Source organism: Homo sapiens, chromosome 10 (assembly GCF_000001405.40).
Source record: "Homo sapiens chromosome 10, GRCh38.p14 Primary Assembly".
Classification (NCBI taxonomy): Eukaryota; Metazoa; Chordata; class Mammalia; order Primates; family Hominidae; genus Homo; species Homo sapiens.
Window position 1 is genome coordinate 64,859,742 of NC_000010.11, and position 20,089 is coordinate 64,879,830.

Sequence of the window (20,089 nt, forward strand, 5' to 3'; positions counted from 1 at the left end):
CACTGTGAAGAACTTCTCTCATAATAGATCTTATTTCAATTATATGATAGATGTGTATCATTCCTCAAGAAGTTGATGCTATATTTATAACTACGTTCCCTTACCTGTGGCCGGTGTTAAAATGTGGTATCTTGTCAGATGTAAAGAATACGTTTTTCATATCTAAAGTAAATTAGTATTTCAAATGAGTTGCCTTGAAATTATAGTCAAAGATATAAGTGAGATAACATTGCCTATTTTGAAGGGTCGAGTTGCCTGGGTTTGGATAAATTGGTATGCCTACTTTCAGCAAATAGAAGCAGGTTACTCTTCCACAAAGGCATAACCTGGATGTGATTGTGCTGACACGAAGAGCTTACTTTGACAGCATCCAGATTCACAGCTGCAGATGGCACTCTTACTCAAAAGAAGAGATAGACCTTAAGAGAAAACACTGTACATTTTTTTGTTCTCATGAGATTGAATCTTGAAGGTCTCACTAATTATCAATGTCCTCTTTAGCCTTTCTCTTTGAAAAGTAAAATAAAATTCAGTGATATTCAAAAAATGCAAACCAAATTAATGGAATCAGATAATAAGATTGCCTGCAATTCTAGTTTGGCTTTTATGTTTTTAGTTAGTGTATTGATAAAACCCCGGCATATATGTTCTTCAAAACTTTTTGTCAATATTTAATACTAATTACTATGACAATGTCAAAATACCTATGGAAGTTTTATATCTAGAATGAGTTTTATATCTAGAATGAAAGTAATTTGAGTTGGTCTTAAAGCACTATGGAATAAGAAAGTCACCAATGAAGCACTATAAATAGAAGGTATTGAAATTAAGTTCAGGGCAATAACTTTTTTTTTAAGTTTTACTTTCATATTTTAAATCCCTGCATTTTGCTTCTCCTTCCAAGCTGTATTGTAGTAATACTCATTGTCAAGAGTAAAAGAAACCACATGTTCAATTTTTAAATGAGGCCATCAAGAACTCTCTTGGAAAAAATTATTTGTAATAAATAAGTCTGTGACACTATGTCTTTTGTATATTTTAGAATATAGATAATAGGTTTAAAAGTCAGTTTGATTTTATAGTACTATCTGGAAGTTACTTGTGGGTTACAAAATGGGTGTTTGAAAAATTGTACCTTGCCATTTACTGAATTTTCTACCCTTTCTCCCTGTAGGATTATATCTTTTTAAATTTAACCAGGAGGCAATCCCACTACCTGCTTTTGAAAGTAAAGTTTTACTGGAACATGCTGTATTAGCCCATTTTCACACTGTTATAAATAATTGCCTGAGACTGGGTAATTTATAAAGGAAAGAGGTTTCATTGACTTACAGTTCGGCATGGCTAAGGAGGCCTCAGGAAACTTAGAATCAGGTCAGAGGTGAAGGAGAAGCAAGGCACCTTTTTCACATGGTGACAGGAAGGAGAATGAACGCAGGAGGAACTATGGAACACTTACAAAACCATCAGACCTTGTGAGAACTCACCATCATAAGAACAGCATGAGGGAAACCGCCCCCATGATTCCATTGCCTCCGCCTGGTCTTTCCTTTGACATGTGGGGATCATGCGGATTACAATTCAAGATGAGGTTTTGGGTGGGGACAGAGCCAAACTATAGCACACAACCATGCTTATTTGTCCATGTACGTATATGGCTGCTTTTGCGTTACAAGACAGAGCTAAGTTGTTGTGAGAATGACTGCTTATAAACACTAAAATATTTACCATCTGTCCCTTTGCTGTCATGTGAACAATATGTATGGAAAGGCTAGAGAGAGAGGGAGAGAGAAAGACTGAGGTTAGAAACACACACATATGGACACTTTCTCATTATCTATTTTTTTCCATTGATCTTGAATGGGTTTTGAAGTTTAAAGGGCAAGTCTATTTTCTTATTTTTAGCCTTTCTATTTTGTTGTATTCTAAATTATGAATTTATTTACTTTCCAAATTTTTGCTTTCCTTTTCCTCTGTCATTAGTTACTGCAGTACCACTTTTACTTTACAAGATAACACAAAGCAAAAACAAAGTCTGAAAAAAGACACTAGCTTTAGCATAAGATAGAAATATTTGAATGCATATCTACACAGCTAGTTTGTCTATTCTCCAAACCAGAAGTAGAGGGCTGAAGTGAAGAGGAAGAGAAAAAGGAAAGAATTCTTCAGTTAGGGAAGGGAAGAAAGCTCCGGGCACAGACAGGAGAGTCTCAACTTCCAGCTCTTCTAATATTTGAAAATCCACAGAAAACCACCAATCCATTCTGGGATCAACCCAACCAACAGTCCTGGAGAGTTGGATACACAGAGGCCCACTGAACAGCACACTTGGAATCTGGACATCTTGAGTGCAGATGTGGGCGTTGAGGGAAAATATCTTCCTCAATCAAGATAATATTCTAGAGAATTTCCCAGTATACCATTGAACACACTGAAAGAGTTATAAATATGTTAACTGTTTTATCATTATTCAATTTAAATAAGCATTTTAAATATTTTAATTAAATATTTATTTTCTAAACTAGGTTTAGTTGATTAAATATAATTTTACGGTAATAATTTTTTTAAAAAATTCTATTGTGTACTTAATAAAAACTTAAATGAAAGCTTTAAAAATTACAAATTTAAAATTTTGAATAAAATCTTCTTTCCAGGAAAGTAACTTGTATGCTTATATATATCATTGTCTCTAAAGATTCTCCAAACTTAGTGTGCACTAAAATAATTTGTGGGGCTTGTTAAAAATAAAGTGTCTGGATTCACCCCTAGAGATTCTTTTTCAATAGTTTGTGATTTTAAGGGGCTGATAAATACCTCCCTTTTTCCCCCTTGAGTTCAAAGCACATTGAGAGATACATGTAGGAATTTTATAAATGGAGATGAAAATACCACTTTTAACTGAAAGTGCTATTTAAAGGACAGCTTTGGTTTGCAGCTAAGTGGGTGATATGGTCTGGCTCTGTATCCCCACTCAAATCTCATCTCGAACTGTAATATGAATTGTAATCGCCATGTGTTGGAGGAGGACCTTGTGGAAGGTGATTAGATCATGGGGGCAGTTCCCCTATGCTGTTCTTGTGATAATGAGTGAGTTCTCATGAGATCTGATGGTTTTATAAGGGGTGTTGCCCCCTTTGCTCTCCACTTCTCTCTCCTGCTGCCATTGAAGAAGGACATGTTTGCTTCCCCTTCCACCATGATTGTAAGTTTCCTGAGGCCTCCATGTGGAACTGTGAGTCAATCAAATCTCTTTTCTTTATAAGTTATGCAGTCTCGAGTATTTCTTCATCGCAGTGTGAGAACAGGCTAATACAGTGGGTTTACTCAGACTTCACTCCTGAATTGGACAGACATCCCTAACCTAATACTGTAGTGTAGACAATCCCAGGGCTCTCCTTGAGAGGAAGCCTCTCACAGGAATTCGTGCATCTTGTGAATAGGCTTGCTCCAAAGAAAAAGCTGATGAGCTAATGAGGATCAGTTTCTTCTCCCACTGTATCAGATAATCTCTCCTCATTCCTAGAGGAAGAGGTAAGGTGTAAGGAGTAACTAACCAGTAATGTTACTTTGTCTTAAATTCTTTTATGTGTAATGTTTAGAATACAGGGAAATAAGCCACCTCTATTGCATCACTGTTCTGTAATTATTTTATACCTAATCTAAAATATGAATTAGAAGTAGTCCTGTTATAAAACAACAACCACAACAAAACATACATACAAAGGTTTGTATATTCATATGTGCCTGTGAAACTGTTGAACTATATTCCTGTGATTATGAAATGCTTGACTCTATTAAATATTGTGCTAAAGCAGAGTGCATTTTTGTTTATCCTAAATGAGTGAGACTGTTAGGCATTTTCCATTTTTTAAATGGTAAGAAGAGAAGTTAATAGCTGTAAAATCAATTAAAATTATACGTTATTTTATAAATGAATTTATTATTATCAAAGTAAATAGATTTTCAAAAATTATATTATGAATTAGTTTGGATTCCCCAGAAGCAGACACTGAGATTAGGATTCTAGTGCAAATAGTTTATTAAAGATATGAAAAAATGAAGGAAAATAAGATAGCCGATAAAGGATGCCAGCTTCTACTGTGGGCTACTGGCACTTTTGCATGGGTAAGAAACTACGAATCAGTGGAGGACACATGCCTCCCAGTTGTTCCCCCCAAGGGCCAGGGTGCAGATGGTGGGTATGTATGCATTAATTCCTATCAGCCATGCAGAGAGCTGCTTCTAGGGCTATTCATTCCCTGGCACATCTGGACTGCCACAGGGGCACCAAAGCTGGCTCAGCAGCAGGAGAAAGCCCTCAGGCAACAGGAAGCACTTGCTGGAAGTTGAAAATCAAGCTGTTTTTACCTCACCTGGTAAGGTCCTAGTTAAAAAAAAAAAAAAAAGGTTGCTGTTTCACCATAAAGTGTTTGCTCTATAGTTTGTGAAAACAGACTGTATCATATCAAGGAAATTCCTTTCTAGTCCTAGTTTGGTGCTTTTACAAATGCATCTAGTAAAAATGTTATACAATTTTGCTTCTTTAATATATTGCTGTGGCAAAGTATGACTGCTTTTTTAATATTAAGCTAAACAGGCATTCCATTATCACATCCAACATATTGTTCCTTTATTATTCATTCCGTACCTTGTTGAATTTAAGGTTTGGCTTCAAAATCCGTGAGGTAAGATACCAATAATGTTCTGTTCTCTCAGTATTCTCTATTAGGTTGGTGCAAAAGTAATCGTGGTTTTTGCCATTACTTTCAACGGCAAAAACTGAAATTACTTTTGCAACAACCTAATGTTTGGCATAAAGGTGATACTGGATTAGTAACACGAGTCTGTCACTCTTCTGAAATTTTCAGTTCTTTGGAAAACTTTATGTCAAATCGAATATAATTTTGTTTAAAATAATTGATACAATATTTCTGTAAAGCATGAAAAGCTTTGTAATTATAAATTCTACATTTATAATAGTAAACAATGCTCAGCTTTTTCTTCTTGTGTCATAATTGTTTATTTCCAGAAAATTATCCATTTAATGTAGCTTTTAAATTTTATTTGTGTGTTTCTATAACTTTTTTATTGTTTTTGTAATATCTACAGAATCTATTGTAACACCTCTGTTTATCCCTGATATTGACTTTCATCATTTACAATTTTTCTCACATTTGACTTCTCTGTCTCATCAGAAACATCCCAACTCAACTGGATTTTCAAAAATATTTTGTCTTTTTTATTCTCTTTATTGTTGCTTATATTTTAGTTTTATGATCTCCTAGTCTGTATCACCTTTTTCTTGTATTTTCTTTGGAATTTAGTTAGTGTTCTTTTATAAACTTTTAATATGGATAAGATTTTTTTATATAATCTTTTTTCTTATATATGAATTCTAGGCTATATTGTTTCCTCTGGCACAACTACAGCTGATTCCCACACATTTTTTTAAGTTTTAAGAGATTATATTAAGAAATGTTTCACATATATACATAGTAGAGAAAATAGCAAAATTATACCCTCCTGTCATGTACATAAATTCCAGTATAAATTACTATCAATTCATGGTCAATCTTGTTTGATATTGTGAAACCCAACTATGTGAGACAGGTCTTAGTCAATTTAGGAAGTTTGTTTTGCCAAAGTTAAGGACGTGCGCCCATGACAGCCCCAGGAGGTCCTGATGATATGTGCCGGAGGTGGTCGGGGCACAGCTTGGTTTTATTCATTTTAGGGAGACATGAGCTATCACTCAGTATATGTAAGTTGTATATTGGTTCTGTCCAGAAAGGTGGGACAACGTGATGTGTTAAGGGGACTTCCAGGTCATAGGTAGATAGTAGAAAAAATGGTTGCATTCTTTTGAGTTTCTGATTAGCCTTTCCAAAGGAAGCAATCAGATATGCATTTTTCTCAGTGAGCAGATGGATGACTCTGAATAGAAAGGGAGGCAGGTTTGCTCTAAGCAGTTCCCAGCTTGACTTTTTCCTTTAGATTAGTGATTTTCAGACCCCAAGATTTTCCTTCACAATATCTACCCCACACTTTGTCATCCTTTCCTTAACATTTTAAGGAGATTTACATATATATCACATGATTTCATCCGTAAACATTATGGTATTTATCACTAAAAGACAGGATACTTAAAACAAAATAACAATACATTATTACCATCTAACATTTTTAATAACAACTTCTCAATATGCTACAATAGCCAGTCTATCTTTGAACTTTCCTGTTTTTCATCTTTCTTTTTACAGTCAGTTTTATTAAGTCAAAATTTAAACAAAAGGTCCACACATTGAATTGGGTTGTTATGTACTTTAAATGTTTTTTAAACTATAGCTTTTACTTGTCAGCTTTTTTCCCCTTATATTTGTTGAAGATATGATGTTATTTATTCCACAGATATTTCTAAATATGAGAATGTGTTCACTATATCTTGTGCTGCCTTTGATATATTTCTAGTTGGCCTGAATTTCTCATAAATGATAGTTAAATCTAGAGACTTGACCAGATGAAAGATTTGAATTTCTGGAAAGAATACTTCATAGATGACGTTGAGTACTTTTTTACCAGCATATCTTTCTGATTGTCTCTTTATTTAAGATATTGAAAGTGATCAGCTGATACAGTTGTTACCTGTCTGATTTATCTATTATACATTTTTCTATCACTATTTCACTTACAGTTTTAGAAGCCATTTATGGTTATTGACTATATCCATTATTTTAGTAGACTTTATATGTTTTTATAATAATACAATTTTTATTCTTTGTTTATTAAGCTAAAAAATTCTATTACAATATTTCCCTCAAGGAGTCTTGATTATTCTGATGTGAAATTCTTCCAGGAAAGGGTGCAAAAATTTTTAATTTCTTTTAATGAATAATTTCTAATTCATAATTTGACACATCGTCTTCCAAAGTTAACCATATAACCATTTGTTCATTTCTCTTAGACACTAATGGATTTTTTAAAGTATTCAGTATGTTTCAAACCATTGAAACCTTTATTCTTTTTGATACAAAAATTGTCTCAACTTCTGAGGGATAAATTTTAAAATGGTTCCTGTGGTTTTACTGTGATTTTGAAAAATTTCTTAATTTTCTCTTTTCACAACAGGTTTTAGGCTCATCTTGTTCATATCCTGCCTCAGATGCGGAATCAGCCAACTCCCTGAGCACCCCTACTTCATTTAGTGAGTAACACAGATTTTGATATGAGGTATTTTTTTCATGTATTATAGCCATTTTTTATCCTAGCAATGTTTTCTTTGAATTATGGCATCTTTAAAAGTGAAATTTTAAATTTCTGTATGTCTGAGGATATTCCAATTTTCTTTTTATTATATTTTTCTAACCTAATTTTATTGTAATTAAGAAGTATGCTCTATATGAGGATTTAGTTAACTATGTTAACTATGGCCTGCTGAGCAAGTCCAGCCCTCTTTTAATAAGGCATTACTGGTGCAGAGCCAGGCTCATTATTATTTTTTTTATATTGTCTATGTCTGTGTTCACACTACAATGGCAGAGACTGTTGCAGTCTTGCCAGTGCACCACAATGTTTCAATTTTGTTGTTTGACGTAGGACATAGAGTTCTTTGTCTCATGACCAGGAGAATTAAGGACCATAAACACAAAGGTGAGGTTGGAGCAAAAGTTTAATAAGGGAAAGGAGAAAGCTTTCCACATTGAAGAGGGGTTGCCATTCTATGGTTGAATACAAAGCCTTTTATAAACAGGTTAGTAGGGAGGGAAGTTTCATTTTCAAAAGGCATGAAAAACTGGTTAAGAAGTGTTTCGTTTGCATAAGGTGTGAATTCCTGACAGCTCCACCTTGTCCTTTTAGTGCACATGTGGAGATTCTTAGCCTAGTCACTCCATATTGTTTAATTTTCCTCACTGTGCACGTGCTGGGGGCAGAATTCTCTATTGTGGACATGTCTGGTTCTGTGTAACTTCTTTTATCTGTGCAGCACAGGCACGTTTCAAGTAAGCCCCTCCCCATGCAAACTCCCTTATCTGAGTATGTCCAAGAAAGGAAAGGATGTATTCACTGAAGCCTACCATGTATATGTAACCATTGTTAGTTATACAGAAGGCATTTTTATGTTGGACTTTGCCCCCTTATCTGTGCTTGCACCTTGATCTTTCAAGCTGTTCCTTTGTTAGAAAAAGAAATTCTACCGAGGACTTGTCCCAGCTATCTGCCTAACTGGTTCCTTTCTCTCTCTTCTCTCAAGACCATGTCACCCACAGAACCTAGCATATTTACCCACAGTCTGTTTACATAAAATATTTGTTGACCTTTGCTTTATAAGGATCCTGATCACTGAAATAACATAAGACTTGCTTTGTGGTCCAATATAGATCCATTTTGAAAAAATATTTTACATGTCCTTGAAAAGAACAGGTATCCTGAAGTTGTGGGGTACAACTTTTATATGCTTACTAATGTTGAGTCTGTTTGTTTTATCAAAAACTGAGAAATGTATTTAAATATCCCACTATGATTTATTTATAATTCTTATTTATCTATTTCTCCTTACTGTTCTGATTTAATACGTTTTATTATCCCTTATTTTGTAATGGTTGAGAGACGATTCATTCATTTTTTATTCAATTAGTTACTGTCAGAGATATTACAAGCTGGATCCTTGACTTTTAAAAGTCTAATGTTAATTAGCATCTTTACCCTACTAGGAAAATGAAAAGACCTTATGCTCTTAGACTGTACTTCTTCTTCTCCTTGCATGAATATGCTGTTTTTTCATGTATTTATATGTCCACATCCATTTTAACAGTCAATTTTAATTCAACTTGACTTCCCATTCTTTATTCCTTGTCACATTTCTGTGCTTCTGACAGAAGTCATTTCCTGAAATTAACTTCCTGCCTAAAGTTAACTAGCTTTTATTCTCTTTAATGCAAATCTGCTGATTGTGAAGACTATCAATTTAAAAAAAATCAATCTAACAATTTTGTTTGTTTGTTTGTTTTGAGAAAGAGTCTTGTTCTGTCACCCAGGCTGGAGTGCAGTGGTGTAATCTTGGCTCACCGCAAATTCCACCTCCCAGGTTCAAGCGATTCTCCTGCCTCAGCTTCCCGAGTAGCTGAGATTACAAGTGCCTGCCACCATGCCCAGCTAATTTTTGTATTTTTAGCACAGGCAGGGTTTCATCATGTTGGCCAGGCTGGTCTTGAACTCCTGACCTCAGGTGATCCACCCTCCTCGGTCTCCCAAAGTGCTGGGATTGCACGCGTGAGCCACTGTGCCCAGCACTAACAGTATATTTTACTCTCCTAATTGAAGGGTATTTTTCCCAGGTATAGAATTCTAATATGGATATTATTGTCCTTTAGTAGATTAAACACATCCTTCTACTGTATTCTGGCTTTCTTGCTTTTATGAGGTGAACTGTCAGTCTAATTGTTGCTTATTTGATGGCAATTTTCCCTCATCTTCTACATACATCATATATGCTTTTAGAATTGTGTGTGTGTATGTGCGTGCATGTGTGTGTAGTTTTATGCAGTTAAACTGTATTGTTTCTTTATGTAATTTTTTTTATTCCTTCTTGAAAGTCTTTTGGGCTTTGGAAGTTTAGCCGTCTCTCAGCTATGTCTTTTCTGAAATGTATGCCGGGCATTCTTACCCCATCCTCTATATCCTTCACTTTCTTTCATAGTTTTTATCGTTTTCCTTTCTTTGCTTCTTTATAAATAATTTATTTGAACCATGTTTTCTAAACTAATTCTGTCTTTAGTTACATTGATTCTGCTGTTAAGTGTATATAATACTAGGCTCTTAATTATTTACTTTACTTTTTATTTCAATACATTCCAGTTGTATTTTTTGAAAAATATTCTATTTAGTTCTTTTATACCTTTAGTTCTTTGCCGAAATGTTTAAGTTTTGTTTTACTTCCATAAGAAGAGCAACTATAATTGTTTTAAAACCTCTGTCTGTTAACTCCACAACCCGAAATATCTGTGGGTCTTTCTCTACAGCCATGCTTTGTGCTGGTTTCCACTTATGTTATCTTTTTATCTTGCATAAATGGTTATCTGTGACTTTTTTCTGTACTTGTGTTTGGAAACTTATTCAAAGAAATTGTGTGTGACCTATGGTCTTATTTTCCTTCAGAGAGAACATCACTTTACTTTGATCACTTTGAGCACTAGTAGTAATCTAGGGTGACCTTAATCCATTTTCAAATTTTGAGATTTTCTGACATAACCTGATGACTAGAAGCTGGATGTACTTTATGCTTTACTTAGTTTACTTTTACTGAAAGGGTACAGATATTTTCATTTCTTCTATCTATAATTTCTCTTTGGTTTTCTAGGCCACACTTCTGGCACCCCTGGCTGGTATTCAGCTCTGACTTTTAGTCTTCCTAGCTCTGCAAAGTTGACAAAGCACTGCTCAGCCTCCCATATGTATCTATAAAGATCTCCTGAGAAAAGTGATATTAATACAAACCTGATTTATTTGGATTTCTGTTTTCTCAGATAAATGCCATCTAGAGCAACATAAAACCATATTTTGCACTATATCTATCTATATATATATCTCGAATGGAAGTATCTGTAGGTATATAGAAATATATTTATCTATATTTCTATTTAACTATCACCCATCTATCTATCATCTATGGAAAATGCTTAATATAACTTCTATCATACATAAAGAAACAAATAGTGCCCATAATAATTCTTTTTCCATAAGGAGAATGCAGATATCATAGAGGATGCGCCAATATGTTTTTCTAAAAAACCTTGGTCTGTAAAGTTGAAATGAATTTTTTCTTTTGTTTGCTTATTTATCTGTTTATTTTAATTATAAATAATATTTGTGTTTGAAATAAAGGCTTTTTTGACTAAATAGCATATGATGCAAAGATAAGATAAAGGCCAAGTAAACAAAAATCATATCAAGTATCTTATTGGATCACAGGAATAAAACTAAAAAATATCAACAGGCACTCTGAAAGCTATACAAGCACACAGAAATTAAACAACTTGCTTCTGAATGATCTTTGGGAAAATGATAAAATTCAGGCAGAAATCAAATCATTTTTTGAAACAAATGAAAATAGCTGCACAACATACCAAAACCTATTCGTTACAGCAAAAGCAGTGCTAAGAGGAAAGTTTATAGCATCAAATCCCTACATAAAAAAGACATAAAAATCACAAAAAATAAAATACCTATGAATACATTTAATGAAAGACATGAAAGATCTCTTCAAGCAGAACAACAAAACACTGGTGAAAGAAATCATAGATGACACAAACTAATTTAAAAAATCCTACGCTTGTGTATTGGAATAGACACCATTAAAATGACCATGTTGCTCAAAGAAATGTACAGATTTGATGCACTTTTTATCAAATTATCATTGCCATTTATCACAGAATTAGAAAAAAAAACTAAATTTCACATGGAACTGAAAAAGAGCTCAAATAGCTAACGAAATCTTAAGCAAAAAGAAAAAATCTAGAGGCATCACATTATCTGACTTTCAATTATACTACAACTCTATAGTAACAAAAACAACATGATACTAGTACAAAAATAGGCACATAGATCAATGGAACACTGTGACAATAAAGCCACATACCTACAGAAATAAAGCCACATATCTACAACCAACTAATCTTTGACACAGTCAACAAAAATATACAATGGAGAAAGGACACCCTATTCAGTAAATGCTGCTGACAAAATTGGCTAGCCGTATGCAGAAGAATGAAACCGGACCCCTATCTCTCACCATATAGAGCAATTAAGGTGGATTAAAGACTTAACTGTAAGACCTGAAAAAATAAAAAACCTACAGGAAAACCTAGGAAAAACTCTTCTGAACATTGGCATAGGCCAAGAATTTATGACTAAGGTCTCAAAAGCAAATGCAACAAAACCAAAAATACACAAATGAGACTTAATTAAACCAAAAAGCTTCTGTACAGCTAAAGAAATAATCAGCAGAGTAAATCCACAACCTACAAATTGGGAGAAAATATTTTCAAACTATGAATCCAACAAAGGACTAATATCCAAAACCTACAAGAAAATCAAGCAACTCATTAAGAAAAACCCTGATAACCCCATTAAAAAGTGGGAAGAAGGCCGAGCTTGGTGGCTTACGCCTGTAATCCGAGCACTTTGGGAGGCCGAGGTGGGCAGATGACTTGAGGTCAGGAGTTCAAGACCAGCTTGGCCAACATGGTGAAACCCCATCTCAAGTAAAAACACAAAAATTAGCCAGGCATGGTGGTGGGCACCTGTAATCCCAGCTACTCGGGAGGTAGAGGCAGGAGAATCACTTGAACCCAGGAGGTGGAGGTTGGAGTGAGCCAAGATCATGCCACTGCACTCTAGCCTGGGCAACAGAGGAAGACTCCACCTCAAAAAAAAAAAGTGGGAAGAGGATATGTATGAGCAGACATTTCCCAAAAGAATGCATACAAGTGCTAACAAACGTAGGAAAAAATGTTCAAAGTCATTAATCATCAGAGAAATTAAAATTAAAACCACATTTAGATACCATCTCACACCAGTCAGGATGGCTACTATAAAAATAGTCAAAAAACAAAAAACAAACAGATATTGGCAAGGAAGTGAAGGAAAGGGAATGCTTATACACTGTTGGTGGGAATGTAAATTAGTATATCCTCTGTGGAAAACAGTGTGACTTCTTAAAGCACTAAAAATAAAATTATCTTTCCATACAGAAATCCCACTACTGGATGTCTATCTAAAGGAAAAGAAATCATTATATTAAAAAGATACCTGCACTTATATGTTTATTTCAGCACTCTTAACAATAGCAAAGTTAGAGAATGAACCTAACTGTCTATCAGTGGATGACTGGATAAAGAAAATGTAGTATATATATATACCATGGAATACTACACAACCTAAAAAAGAATGAAATCATGCTTTTTCAGTAACATGGATGGAAATGAAGGACATTATTTTATGTAAAATAACTCGGAAAATTGACTGCTGGATGTTCTCACTCCCAAGTGGGAGCTAAGCAGTGGGTACACATGAACATACAGAGGGGAATAGTAGATACTGGGGACTCATAAAGGGGGTAAGGTAGAGGGATGAGAGTTGAAAAATTACCTGTTGGGTAAAATGTTCATTATTCAGGTGATGGGCACACCAAAATCCCAACTTCACCACTGTGCAATATATTCATGTAACAAAACTGCACATGTACCACCTGAATATATAAAAATAAAAATTAAGAAAAAAACCTTTTTTGAGGATTCTTGGAAGAAAATAAATATGTCATATTAATTCAATTGCTTATTTTTGAGGGATTAAAAAATAGTCTTGTAAGTGTATCGGACATTTGCTGAATTCATCAGAGTTAATAACCAAGGTACATTGACAATTATAGTGCTTGCATTTTGGTCTCTTTTGTACTTTTTTGAAAATTTTGATCATGATTGTTTTTTTAACAGCATGTCACTGATGATTATGTTCTTGCAGCTTCCTGCTTTATTTATACGTGGAAGTGACTCAGAAGCAATGTGGAAAGTAAAGAAAATAAGCAAACATTAGATAATTTCTCTCTTCTGCTTCTTTATCAATATTTTTTTCAGAGTTTCCTCTGTGACTGATGATGATTAATCTAACTTTACTCGGTCTGTTTTACTGACTCTTTATTATCACATCTCTTTCTACAACCAAATATTAACTAGAGAAAAATATGTATTAGGAGAAAATATCATCTGAATTGTGGAGGATCTTTAGTTATCCTAGTTTTACTATGCCATCGGATACTTGTTTCCTTTTCTGTGACCCAATGGTTAGAAAGAACTGTTTGTATAATTACCTAATTTCACAGGCACATCCAGTTCAAAATAATGACAAGTAAATACAGTTATTTATTTTTGGCCAATCACATAAAGTAATAGAGAGCTATATAAATTTGTCTTTTTTACTTACTGCTGTGTCACCAAGGCTCAGTACAGTACCTACATTAGTCAGGAATATTTGCTAAATAAAATCATGGCTGAATGAGTGAAAATAAACAGATGGGGAAATTGTCACACTCAATGCTGTTAAATGAATACTCTATTCAGCTTGGATTATTCACCAGGGTTGCCACTGATTCTGTTCTGCGGCGAGCGGCTATAATACATGCAAAAAAACAAAACAAACAAAAAACACCCAAGGGTCAAGGGAGCTGAAAGTCCAAAGAAAGAGGCTGACAAATCCAGTTTCTCTGAAACTACTTACTAGAGACTTACAAAAAGAAGTGATGTCTCAGGTGGCTGCAAGATGGTGGATCCCTGCACCAGCTCTCCAGAAAATACCTTTTACATAGCAAGGTTTTAGGGTAAAACACGTGCAGCTGGTTGGTCACGTCTCAGGCTTTTTTGCCAAAACTTGTGACCACTGGGAATGTTAGATATGCATCTTTGTGAGGAGTTATTTATGCTGTGGGCATTGTTTTAAGACTTTGCTGCAGAACACTTTGGTATGCAGGAGTCAAACATTGGTCATCATGGCAGTTTTGCTTCAAGATGGCATAATTCTTGCCAGGCAACAGGCTGTATTCTTGCATTTTCTCTTTCCCTATTGTCACATTGTTCTACAACAGGGTTTCTCAATGTCAGTACTAGTGATGATTTGGGCTGGATAATTCTTTGTTGGCATGGTGGAGAGATGGGTAGTTTTGTGCATTGTAGAATGTCTTGCAGCATCCTTGGCCTCTGTCTTCAAAGAGTCAGTAGTATACCCCTCCAGCTGTGACAATGAAAAATGTATCCCAACATTATCAGTTATCCTCTGGAATGCACAATGTCCCTGGTTAACCAGAGAGATGACCCAATTAGGGCTTGAGTTTCTGTGATTCACTAGTAACAACCCAAAGACTGCTCACACGAAGTTTCTCCATCTTGTGTTTGAAGCAGCATCAGTTAGCATCCTTTCATTATGTTCTTAGTAATTTGGTGCCATTGATGAGTTTGCTCAGAATGTGAACAGACATACTGAAAGACATGATGTTAAAAAAATCAAATATCACTTTGAGAACTGTGCACTGACTCACTATGTCAAGGCTCATCTTTCACCATCTATGGTAAAAGACGTTTTCTTTTTTTTCTTTAATCCAATCCCGTGTGAGCTGATACTCATAAAACGTGCCAAAGAATGAATTAATGAAAAACAAAACCATGGGTTTAGATGTGCTTGCCTGTTGCAACAAAGTCAACTTGCTATGAAAAAATGAATAATTTGTCCAACATAATTTGGACAAGATGTCTTTAATTTTGCATAAATATTTTTTATTGTTTTTGTAATTTTAAGTGAGAAAGGAAATATAAGCAGTGATTAAGCATCCTGGGCCCATGGCCTGCAAGAAAACAAAGAATCTTTTAATGCTAACATTTAAAAATATATATTTATATTGTATCTACAAATGGCTAATGTTATTATGTACATTTTGTAGGTGAGGAAATTGAGGTTTAAAAAATTTAAAAAAAACTTTGCCAAAATCATAAAAGTATTAATTAATAAAGTTAGGAGGCCGAAGATGCTGAATCAGGTCTGAAGCCAAGATTTTAGTAACTCGAATGTAAAGTGTATGAAGACAGAATATTTTATGCACTTTGCTCCCAAATCTTACACAAGTGGCTAGAACGGTGCTTGATACATAATAGGTAAGGAAGAAAAAAAAAGAAGAAAGGAGAGAAGAAAGGAAGAAAGGAATACTGTATCACATAATTTTCATGGCATTTTTGTCTCATTCTCATTGTTGTGTAGCAAAAGTATTTTTTGCATAGTCTAGTATCTTAAATGTTGAAGTCCTTGAATAATTGTTTTATTCTCTAGGTCTCCATTACCTGTCATCCTTCCTCTTTTCCCTTACTACATCCCACAGAATAGTACATTCAAAGTTACCCAAAAAAGAAAACTCATTTGGGGAACAGTGAAGGATTATTGTAATGCTCCCTTGACAATACAAGAATATTTTAGTGGGTATTTTCCACTTCTCCCCTCTGTGCAAACAAATCATTTTTAGATGCTTAAAAGGGCTTGTTTTTACTTGCTATTGCCAGATGTTTTCTATTTCAGTGACAAGAGTCTTTTTCCATGCATATTACAAATCACATTGATTTCAGCCATAATAGAGATGAAAATGAATATGTAAAACAAATAAAATATACTTTATTTCTATATCGCATATCATTTTCATTCTGATCATACATACATATAGCACACATCCACTGTGAGAAATTTGGAGAAGTGAGAACAATAACACAATTTTTATTATTTCACAATATTTTATTTTGGCATTTTTTAGTAAATAGATCCCTATTTTTCCAAATATCACTAGTCTATGATCATATTGATGGCCAATACCAGCATTATTCTGAACTCCCCTTGGGAGTCACAGAAGTCTAGACTTTGCATGTTGTTGCCTATGCATAAAATTATTTAAATCTTTTTAAATATCAACTTTAAAGAAGATAAAAGGGGAGAATATTAATTTGAGGACATCAATTTTTCAAAAATGGCCTGTATAAAAGTTAAAAGGAGTCAGTGTCAAATTTTACTCTAAAGATTCATCAGAGGGATCTGAGTATGGCTTCCATTGTGATTTAGCTGTAAGTCTGTAAAATTAGTATAATTGTACACCATAACATTGTTGTAAGAATTAAAGTGATTTAGACATAAAGTGCTGAGGAAAATGTGTTCTCGTGTGTGTGTGTGTGTGTGCGCTTCAAGAAAACTAAGAACGTAAACACTATTTATTATGTTTCAAATTAAAAAAAGTTTACTTCAATTGATATACATATTCTACGATTCAGTAAATGTTGAGCAACTGAATATACAAATGGGCAATGGCCAGACCATATATAACAGTAGAACTCTGACCTGTAGCCTCTGTAGCAACTAGTCTGGGAGGCCAGAACAGAACTTCTACAGCAACTAGCCCACGAGAGCAAGCCACAATCTTTGCAGCAATTGGCCCAGAATGGGGAGGACTTAATCAGTAACTGCCAGCTTCTCTATTTTTTTTAACCTGATTTCTAAATAAGGACAGATCCAAGAAAGCCAAATATGCTCCCCTAACCAATCACCTGAGTCCCCACTTCTAGTTAGCCCACCTCCAGCCTCCTTATGCCAATAACCTCCAATCAGAGCATATGTAAAAACCTTCTCTCTTATTCACTATAAAACTTTCCCATGTCCCTCTCTATCTTTGAATTTTAGCTAAATGCAAGTGAGGATGGTTGATTTTCTTATTTGGATGGTTTTGTTTATTTCCAGAGTGTTCAAAAATTGACACAAATGTATCAAAATTCCATAAGCTACTTTATCATTGTCATGCTGTCAATCAACTGTGAATCATGTATTCCCTAAATAATGAACAGCAAATTGGGAGCAGATTCTCATATCACTTTTCAGAAAGGAAACCATTGCCTATTAGTGATATGATTAGAGTTGAATTGATACAATGTTTTATCCATAACACCTGAACACTCACTATTACTTTTTAGATTTAGTTGACAGAACAGTAATTTCTGTGTCACAAGTTAGTTTCATTTTTGAAAAAAACTCCAGGAAAAAAATGTTCTCCAATGCTGAGAAGAACTTAAAAAAATTGTCATCTACGATTTAGCTGAAGGGTTTCTTCTAAAAAGAACTATAACCTAAATGGTGGTTACAGAACTGTTTGATAATTGAGGCAAATGTATTTTAGGAAAGAAAAAAAAAAACTCCACATAAGATACTGTGGACATATATTTAAAACAAAGTTTTTTGTTTTTTATTCCTGACTAGGCAAGTAAGTATAATATCATGCAAATAGGGGCCTTTGTTTTAATTTTTGTGCAACATTAGATAAAACTGATAAAAACTTGAGGCCACACCATAATAGATTTTTAATGCTTAGATTTTCAATGTTATGGTAAGGCGTTTTGACTTTCCATTCTTCAGTGTCTGCGGGTCTCACTTGAAGAGTGGAGTAACTGCATTTAATGAAAATGATGTTCAAATTATTGAAATAGTGAATGGGAAGATGGACATTAAGACATGTTTGATAATAAAAAAAGTTTTGGCTGGCTGCAGTGGCTCATGCCTGTAATCCCAGCATTTTGAGAGACCAACACTGGTGTATCACCTGAGGTCAGGGGTTTGAGACCAGCCTGAACAGCATGACAAAACCCTGTCTCTACTAAAAATATGAAAAAAAAAATCAGCCAGGTGTAGTGGTGCACACCTGTAATCCCAGCTACTCGGGAGGCTGAGGCATGAGAATTACTTGAATCTGGGAGTTGGAGGTTGCAGTGAGCCGAGATTGCACCACTGTACTCCAGTCTGGGCAACAGAGGAAGACTCTGTCTCAACAACAACAACAAAAAGTTATATTGCTGACTCAATTGTGTTCTAGAATTGCCTGATGGACCAATGTGCTATCCAGGTCTCAGTGGCTTTAGTTGTTTTCTTCGGATTGACAAGTTATGGATTTACAGACGTCTTCTGCAGTTGGAAAGATAACATTCTGATTATGTAATAATAATTGTTTCCCTTTAAATATTCACATGAGTAGAATTGGAATTTTATTTGTAATATGTAGGATGTTCAGCATCTTTGGTACTTCTTCCATGGGGTGTTAGAATAGAATTAGTATTGCGATTCCTGAACAATAACGATTGACTTACCTCCATGTCAGCTTCTCTGGCATTTCCATGGAGTCAGAAAGAAGCCTGCACATGCAGCCTTTAGGGCCCAACAAGTTTAGTTTGTATTGACAGCTGAATTAAGGCAATTTTCAGACTGACTAGGAAACTGTTCTCTGGGCTGCCTGGGAAGTCACAGAGACAATAAATAGATGCGTAACAAACCAAATGCTCTCTCAGCTATCCTAGGGCCTGACTTACTTCAATTCCCTTTGAAGATTATATCATTTAGTAAATGTCTGCTCTGATCTTCTAAGTGGTCCAAAAAGTCAGGGTAGTATTCTAAATACTTGTCCCTAGAAGAATCTGCGTGAGTGAAAGCACTATTTTGAAAAGCTGTGGCTGACAATGAAGCCAAAAAAACTCCATACCTGTACAAGATGCATTCATTTACAGGATTTTTCCAAGATAAGGAAATTCTACTGTGTTTTCTTACATTGAGAAAATTCATTTTGCTCTTTCCATGTTTGATGATCACAGGCTGTGGTGAGCAAAATAAAAATTGCACTAGTATTTTACAGGATTAACAGGTTTTGTTGAATTATTTCATTTAACAACCATAACATCTTAAATTCACACTGATAATTTCCAGTTTTGATTATAATTCTCACTTAGAGCATCTCAGTTTAATTTCAGTATATACTTCAGGTGATTGATTTCACAGACTGCTCTTTCCTATGCATATGCCTAAAAGCCATAACATATTTTCATGAAAAAAAAATGCCTGTATAGCTATATATTTCTGTTTGTTCTTGATGTTGATCAATCTCTCTCTGTGTGTATATATACATATATATACATATATGTGTATCTCTCTGTGTGTATAAATATATATATTTAGTAACTGCGTATATACACACACATATATAGTTACTGATCTATTTAGTAACTATATGTATATACTCACAGATATATAATCAGATTTATGATCTATTTAGTAACTACGCACACACACAAACACACATACACATACATAGTTGCTAAATAGAACAGAGATCTTCAGGACTATTTATCATAATATAGTTTGACCAAACAACACATTTATAGCATTTTAATGATATTTTCATTAAATGGCTAACACGGAATATTTGATTTTTTCACCTTTATAAAACAGAGGTTATTGCACTGGGAGAGTAAAGTGATTTATACAACTAGATTTAATAATCAGACTTTATTCTAGTAGCATATAAGATAAATTCAACTCAGATCAGCTTATACAAATAAAAGAATGCATTTGATCATATAAACTGAAAACTCAGGGATATGTTTGATTCAAGGCATAGCCATGTGTTCAAGATCATACAACGCTGCAAAGATTTGGCCAATTTTTTTTCCATCTCTTGTCTGTGCTTTCTTTAGGTTTGTTTCAC

The 20,089-nt window shown here is 34.4% G+C and overlaps 1 long non-coding RNA gene across 1 annotated transcript in view; it reads left to right on the forward strand.

Moving 5' to 3' along the window:
- Positions 1-20,089, forward strand: part of LOC105378336 (uncharacterized) — an 88,286-nt gene that overhangs the window by 44,788 nt on the left and 23,409 nt on the right. Inside the window, exon 2 of the long non-coding RNA XR_946020.2 lies at positions 7,126-7,201. This is a non-coding gene — a long non-coding RNA (uncharacterized LOC105378336). The remainder of the gene's footprint in view (positions 1-7,125; positions 7,202-20,089) is intronic.